Consider the following 9,401-nt stretch of genomic DNA (forward strand, 5'->3'; position numbering starts at 1 on the left):
CGTAATGAAGTTCAGGTGGAATGGGTCATGCAGACTCAGCAAATAACGCAGGATACTGCTAGGACTCAGTGTTAGAGGAGGGGTTTGTGCCCTGACCCAACAGGACTTATTGGCTGATTTTTTTGTTGCTTGTCGGTTGGTTGGTTGGTTGGTTTTTTTGTTTGTTTGTTTTGGTTTGGTTTGTTTGTGTGTGTGTGTGTTGTTTGTTTGTTTGTTGAGACAGGGTTGCTCTGTCACCCATCAAGGCTGGACTACAGTGGTGTGAAGTTGGCTCACTGCAACCTCTGCCTCACAGGTTCAAGTAATTCTCCTGCCTCAGCCTCCCAAGCAGATGGGACTACAGGCAAGCACCACCATGCTCAGCTAATTTTTATATTTTTAGTAGAGGCGGGGTTTCACCATGTTGCCGAGGCTAGTCTCAAACTCCTGAACTAAATTGATCCACCCGCCTCAGCCTCCCAAAGTGCAGGGATTACAGGCGTGAGCCACTGTGCACTGTCCCTATTGGCTGTTGTGATGCAGACAGAAGCAAAAGCAGCCCTGGGGCAATGGCCTTCCATTCTACTTGAATAGGCACAAGGGGATCACTGAAGGGAACCTTGTAGACCTTATAACTTATCGAAGTTCTCTGAGGCACTGATAATTTTCACTGATGGACTATGACTGCCTTCATCCCAAGAGTAGATCTGAGTAAGATATAACCTGTAGTACAATTAGGAGTTCTGGGAACTATTCTGAAAACACCGTGCCCTCACCTGAGGACAGAGGTGGGTCCCGCTATATAGCAGCACACAATAGAAACTAGTTTCAGTGGAAAGCTTTTAAACCTAGATAGGGTAACTGAATTTGTCCCCAACAGAGTTGGAACCCGGAAATAACCAAATCATGGCTAATTGTAACGATACTTGTCAGTAATAATATGGTGTACGAGCATGGGCCACAGCTGTTAGAAAGGGATAGTAAATACTTCTCTAATTCTTACTGATTTGTTCTGGAATGAAACTGCTTATACCATGATCACACTGCAGTATGGTATAACATTGGCATTGTTGGTAATATTCAACTATTTTATGTAAATAACTCGTGTTAATATTGAAACTGATGATGAAATATATTGCAAAATCAGGTTAAAACTTCCTGATACCAATGGAAAAGGATGGCCTGTAGAAGAACTTAATATAACTAACCATCAGCTAATATCTACGCTAAATTGTTCTGTATAAGGTTATCACAGGGTGCAAATAAAGGGGGAAGCCGGTAATCAGATTAGTGCGAAAACATGAAAATGTATGTGTATGTCACGACTTTATAGGATGGATTAGCTGTTTTCTTAGGTCTTTCCCTACCCCACAGTGACTCACAGATATTAGACATATTTATGCTGACACTATTGCTGTATCTGTTATATAAATGCTTTTCTAAATATAGATACTCTGAAAAGTGTGATCATTCTGGTAAAAGAGCCTAAGCCAAGTGCCTGGTGAGTGAACTGTACAAGAAAGGGTTAACTCAGTTAAATTTATATAAACTCATATAAAACTTTAAAATACTCTAATCATATCACTTAGAGTAAGACACAGAAATGGAAATTTTTCCCTTTGGAATTTGGATTCAGGGCCATGTTATTTTGGGTGGGAAATCTGAAGCAATAGCTTGAGGCCTATAATAAAGATAGCATTGATAGAACAGCATGTGTTCAAGGAAAAAATATAGGATCAAAAAATGAAAACAATGCTCAGTGGTTAAGATGAAATGGCTTTATGGGATAGGCAGAATTCTCTAAATGGCCCCCCTTAGACTTTTGTTATTTAATCAAACACTAATCTAGGTTCTGCTGTGAAGGGGCTTTGTAGATCAATGGGTCCTAAAATGTGAAGGTTACCATGGTAACAATCAGGTGAGTCTTCTAAAGGCTGGGAATTTTTTTCACCTAGTAACAGAGGAGGAAGTCAGAGAGATTTGAAGTGTGTGAAGCACTCAACAAACATTGCTGATTTAAACACGGAGGTGGTCCCATGTAGGCACCAGAGTGGCAGCAGGCAGCTCAGGCCATCCCAGATCCCAGAGGACAGAAAACAGCAGTGACAAATGGACAGAGATTTCAACCCTACAACCACAAGGAATCTAATTTTTCCAACAACCATTAAACTTGAAAGAGGATCTCAAGTCTCAGATGAGAATTGCAGACCAAGCTAAAATCTTGATTTTGTTTTAAAGAGAATCCAGCTGACCACCAGGACTTCTGATCAATGGAAACTGTGAGATAATAGATATGTGCTGTTTTAAGCCATTAAGTTTTTGTTAATTTGTTGCAACTGCAATAGAACGTGAATGGTGAATACACTTTTGGTATTAAATAAAGATCATTTGTTTCCAGCTCTAGTCCTTGCTAGATTGGTGATCCATAATTTAGCGCAATAATTCTCTAGCTCTTTGGTCTCAGAACACTTTTAAATTCTTAAAAATTACTGAGGGTCTGAAGATATTTCATTTATGTAAGTATATTTGTTGATGTTATAATAGAAATCAAAACTGACAAATTTATTATTTACTTTTAATTAATTTAAATGGCTTCCAATATAGGTTAATATGATATTCTTGATAAGATATTCTTATAAATAATATATTTTATAAAAAGTAACTTTATTTTACATTTTTGCAATTCTTAAAATATTCAGCTTAATAGAAAGCTGCATTTTACGTTTCCTTCATTCTATCTGTTGCCATATCAGCTAGCCTCTGAAAAAATTCAGTGTGCACTCGTGAGAGAACGAGGGTAAAAAAATATTAAAACTATCTAAATAGTATTGTGAAAATAGTTTTTATCCCACAGACTCTTTGAAAGCTTGTCAGAAATTTTCAGAGTCCCTCAACCACACTTAAAGAATAGCAGACAGCATATCAAAATGTCAGTCTTCATATATGTAAAATGAGGATAATGATCAGATTAAAATATATAGTCCATATAAAGCAGAAAATGTGTCACATTTTCTGAAACACAAAAAGGGCTCAATAATTGATACTTATGTCTATTTTAATCCTTTTTCATTTGTATCTATCACTTCCTACAGGAAATAGAAATTTATGTTGGCATTGAGAGATCTGTTCCTTCTCAGAGTCCCCATACCAGGTTCCATGAAAACCACCTCTCAACTATCTGAAAGTCACGGCCTCTCTTATACCTTCATGGAGATTGTAGGGAAGTATAAAGTAATAAAACCATAATCATTTTAAGAGTTTGGATATTGTAATTTGTGATGTCTGCCTCATGTTTATGACCCTTGAGATCTGTGAAAGCTTGTGCAGAAATAGTGTGATGCCATCATCTGCCCTGCCTGGTCCTGATAATTTTCCTGTAAGGACAATCAGAAAATCTTTGTTCTCCTCCAGAGAGAAGATCCGGAGATCTTCCCTATACTCCTTAGAGAGAAGACAAATAAGTATATATTATTATCCTCCTGGGAATTTAATTCTCAATAGAAACTCAAGAATGTTTTTATTCATCTGATTCTAAAATAAAAGCTATGCTCCTGGAGTTAGCTAAAGAAACTTCAGTGAGTCCAGTGAATCTGTCTGTATCTGGGATTTAATCCTATGAAGGCTTCCAGAGGGAGTAGGAGTCTATATTCATTTTAGCGGTATGTGTCTCATCTCTGTAGGGTTTATTCTAGGTCAAAATATTATCCTGAGGAAAAGTCTAGTGCTAACATCTCCTTATATAGAAGACATTCATTTCTGCTGGGAGGTGTTTTCCTGTATAGGTAGTTGAACTAGAGCTGGATGACTGCAGAAATCACCATGGCTATGCTGGAAGAACAACATCCCTGGGTGACTTTCCCTCCTGAATCAAAGTGTAGATTGCAGGTAGTTGGAATACACACCAATGTCCCTCTCCTCCTCCCAGGGAACGTCTTCCTGCTCTGCTGTGAACAGGGGTCCCAAGGCTCCCCCAGCATCTCTCGCACCATCACCTGCCAATGTCCCTTGATGGTGGAGGTCAGAGCTAGCCCCATTGTCTCAATGAGAAGGAGCTCAGAGAAGGAGGGGCTTTGTATCCAGGTCTCTGAATAAGGCTTTGAAATAGCCAAATTAATGCAAGGACTCTATACATTACCCAGCCTAAATAAAGATATACATGGCCAGGAAAACCTTTCTCAATGGAAACGAAAAATCTATCACAGTTACATTACATCTTTTTCTATCTGAAAGAGTTTAAAAGGTAAGTCTGTCATAGAATTATGTCTTTGGGGGAACTATCCCAGGCTATCACTACTACTAAGAGTTGGAGAAATAGAATAAAGCACTCTAGCTGAAGAAACATTCTGGGTTGCAGGACTGCCTGGGTGGAAAATAGCTCATACTGATCAAGAAAACCTTTTATTTTCTGATCTGCTATTGTTTTATTTATTCTATTGGAAAGGTGAAATTTTAGGCATCATCACTGTGATATTTTGTTCTCCATTCCAGTGTGTTAGCCACTTAAAGATGTTAATCTGCCTGCAATTTTATTTTTTTTAATTTTGTCTGTTTTTCAACAGCAAATGGTAAGGGTAATGACAATAAAAAGATTTATAATCCAGAAAAAATAACTAGACTAAAATATCAAGAAACGAATGTTCCTACTGGGTAACAATAGATTGAATTATCTTCAATAATATTGTTATCCTTTATATTCAGAAATTAAATATGTTTCAGACATGAGTATTATGTCCAACTCTGTTTAATAAAGATTTTGCAATATGATGTTACTATCCCCACTTGGCGTACTATAGGAATATATCTTATTGTAACAAAATAATTTAATGCATATTTATATAGAACCCTCTTCAAATACAATGTATTTATAGAAATTTAAGAATTTGTGATTTTGCCTTTCTGTTTTATTGAGTTATTGATCTCAAAGAAACACTGCCCATGTGACTGATCCCTCTTAGGCTTAGTTTGCAAAAGTTCACAATGCTCACACATGTATCTTCAAGCTTACCTCTCAGGTTATTTTACCTCCATATGAAGTACTTGCTTCAAAAATCCATTACTCTAAAATTGTCCTCAAGCATTGATTCAAAGCAGGTATATGATACTATATTTGTTTTTTACAGCTTGTGTAACAAATTACCACAAATGTGGTTGAATAAAACAATAGAAATTCATTCTCTCACAGATCTGGAATCTAGTAAAATTTTGCTCCCTTTGGGAAACCTAAAGGAGAACATATTTCATCCCTCTTCCAGCATTCCTCAGTGTCTGGCCACATCTCTGTCTGCTCTGTCGTTGCATCACCTTGCCTCTGTGTGCCTTCAGCAGTTTGTTTCAAATCTCCTTCTGCCTTTATTGCATAAGAAATGTTGTCATTGGAATTAGGGCTCATCCATAAAATTCAGGATTATCTTAAGATTCTTAATCACACCTGCAAAGACCCTCTTTCAAAATAAGGCAATATTCACAGGTGCTGAGGATTAGGATAGGGCTATATCTTTTGGGGGTCACCATTCAATCCACTACACATACAGTACATTTAAGTGGGGCCATTTTATCTACAGACGCAATATAGTCCCTACCATTATGCTAATTTGAATGTATCCTTTGCAAATACTGTTTTTAATTATTTTGACATTTCAAATAATCAAATTGTAGCTGTAATGTTTTTTTAAAAAGTATAAATTATTTTTACACTTTTTTAAAAAAGTATAAATTATTTTTACACTTTTTTAAAAAAGTATAAATTATTTTTACACTTTTTCTAAAAAGTATAAATCATGTCCTGGCCAATAGACAAAAATATATATTATATATATTTACCATATATATTCTATATGTTATATATGTATAGTTTATAGAGTATATTTAATATACATATACATGAATAACTAAATCTATAAGTAAAAATGTCATTCATCTAAGTATTATACTTTTTTTAAAAAGTATAAATCATGTCCTGGCCAATAGACAAAAATATATATTATATACATTTACTATATATATCCCATATATTTTATACATATAGTTACAGAGTATATTTAATATACATATACGTAAATAACTAAATCTATAACTAACTAAAAATGTCATTCACCTAAGTAATAAGCATTTTCTGAGTGTCTACTTTTATCTACAAGTATACTACTTATTACAAGAGATGAAGAAGTATAAGATATATTACCATTCATTATCTGGTGAAGGCATATCTCCATTCAAATAAATGACATTTGATATCCTTGCCCCTTCATCTTTGATTTTACCTTGAGAATTGTCTATATCGTCATAGTGAGGACATAACTCTTTTAACTGTAATGATTGACCAAGCCTATACCTTTAATATGTGCCTAAAGAGCCTACCCTTGTGCCTCTACTCTAATTTGCTAGAATAGAAAAGACTCTCTTTATAGGCCGTCTATCAAGTAGGTTTTCAATGGGGCCTAGACAAGTTCAAGCAGGCTGCTTCCTTTCTTTTTATAGTAACTGGTTGTAAACATGCAAGAAAATCCTTCCAAGAAGAGGCTATGATTCCACTACAATTCCCCTTCACACTTATACAATGAGGCTAGTGGATAAGCATAGTAATGACATTAGTATTTTTGAAAGATTCATATGACTTTTGCAACTTAAATATAGGCCTGCCTGAGAATTTACATTTACCTATGCCTCAAATCCTCCAAACGGATAGTCAAAATTCTCAAAATTTTATTACTGAATCCATCTTACATTCTTATGCACTAAAAAATAAAGTCAGTAACAAGTATAAACTGAAAATATATCCATCATAGAAAGAGATTTATAACTATCTGGGAGTGTGTCTGCTTTATAGAAACCTTGCCATTTGCCATGTGTGATAAAATGAAATTATATTTATACAACATTTTAAGTGCTATGTTATTGATTATTTTAAATTATTTTTTAACTTGTCATTTCTGTGTGAGTAAAGATATTATCTTTTATTTAATATATATGAAGTGTTAACTCATTCTCAATGTCATTCACCTATGAAGCAGGACTTCCCCTCAAGGCAGAAACTGAAATTGAGAAGGAAACACTAGATTAGATAAAACATGAGAAATCTGTATTTGTTGTGCTTAATAATATATGTAGAAAGATGTCTAGGTGGGAAATCTGAAGTGCAATGTTAAGATGGTTCTTTCACATGGGACCGCATGGAACCTGGGGAGTAGCAGAAGGTTAATTTGAGATTACAGCATCATGATTGATAAATTAGACATCCTCTTCCACTAGGAGGCATCTTACAGTGATACACCTTAATATATTTGGGATTTTTGCTTGTTTGATTTTTAGATGAGTACACAGAGATATATAAATACATAAATTGATTGACTTGACTGAGCACTTCTAAGTCTCAGAATTTACTATTAAAAATGTCATGAAAAAAGACAACAAATACAAACATATACATATATAATTTAATTACTGAAGCATTATATAGCACACAATCTAATGATGAGATAATACATTAAGTCCATTAGAATATTTGTATTGAATAATAGCTGTTCAAACTATGTTTCAGAGAAATATTTTGACATGGGAAATGGTTCATGATATATGATAGAGCTAGTTAAACAAATAGCATTTTTCATATAATTTTTATAATAATGATATATATGAAATAAACAGTAGAAAAGTATAACTGCACAATTATTTAAAATGATCACTTTTGTTTGTATGTTTCAACATGTCATCTCTTTAGTCCTTTAACTAGAGTTTCACGTTTTTCTAGGTTTTTAAAACTTCAAGTCAAAATCTCATACAAAGTAGGTATCACATTGTTTACACAAGGGTTCACACAAAATCTAAAATATTCAAGATTCTAAAATTTCTAAATAAGAATAAAAGCAGGAAAATAATATAAAACCTGATGGTTAATAAGGTAGTAGAATTACAAACATGTATTTTTCACCAAAAATAAAATAATAAATATCAAAACCATTTTCTTCAATGCTAACACCATAAAGGAAGTCAGTTAAGTTATATTATTTTCAGAAGAATCTTGAGAATGTATTATCCCCATAATAATTTGTATGCTTTCTCAAATTATATGCTCTTGTTTTTAATGTAGAATACCAGAAATTCATGCTATCCTCATGATAAAAATCATGATAAAATACAAATTATCATGATAAAATATAAATTATTAAAAATCCAATAAAACCCAGATGAATATAAATATCGGCTTATAAATATAATTCTTTATTAAAAGTGATTATAACTTTTGGGGGAAATGGCTGTTTTGTGATTGAAGTGGGGAGTATACAAAGGGAGCTTGAAACATCTGGTCATATCAGAAGGAAATAACTGCTCAAATATTATGGGAACATGTTAAAAAGACAGAGGAGCATGCTTAGAAGGCCTAGATATAGGAAAATTAAGCACCAAAAAATGACAACAATGAAGCAACCCACTGAATAAAAAAATCCATGAGTCTATACTGATGGATAGATAGATGACAGATAGCAGATAGATAACAGATGATAGATAACAGATAGAGAGCAGATAGATAATAGATAGGTAAGTGAATGAAGAATTTTTTATACTAAAGTTGCCAACTAATAAATGTAAAAGCAATTATAGAGTCAGAACAACACATTTTGAATCATTATTAATAACTGAGTTAGGCAAGATAATCAATAGATGCTAAAACTAGTGACTGAAAGGAACTAGTGAAGTGACATTATGAGGAACAAGCTACATATATAATAATTTTAATGGGTACTCCAGAAACTAATTAGGGAAAAAAAAATCACATAATGGAGATATCTGGGAAGCACCATCTTCACCAAGTGATCCAAGTTAGCTTCACCCCAATAACAGGACAAATTAATATCATATACTTTCTCAGAACACACAGACGAGAATACTATTTTTCCTGCAGAAAGTGAATAATTTGAACAAAAACATTGAGGAATATTGTACACTCTCAATTTGTTGGACATTATGCTAAAGAACTCTTCAAAATATCAGTGTTCAGAAAGGCACAAAAAGGCTGAGTAAATATTACAGGTACAGGAGACTAAAGACAGATGACTTTAGATATAATGCATAATCTTGGGTTAGGTCCTAGACTGGTGTGGTTGGAGGGAGAATATTGTATATTAGAGAAAAGAAACATGTCAATATCAATATCAATATCAATATTAAACATGTCAATGTCAATATTAAATTTTCTGATTTTAATACTTATATTATGGTCAAGCTAGTGGGAATTAGTTTTTTCTTACTAAAAGATCAGAAATTTAAAATTAAATTGGTATTATGTCTACACTTTAATCTCAACTGGTTCAAAAAATAAAAATTACATAGAGAAAGAGAATAAGACAAATAATAAATGTTAATATTTGCTGAATCTGTATGAAATTAAGTGGGAGTTCTTTGAAAAATTTGTGACACTATTTTTA

The sequence above is a fragment of the Homo sapiens genome, chromosome 7 (genome assembly GCF_000001405.40).
Source record: "Homo sapiens chromosome 7, GRCh38.p14 Primary Assembly".
Classification (NCBI taxonomy): Eukaryota; Metazoa; Chordata; class Mammalia; order Primates; family Hominidae; genus Homo; species Homo sapiens.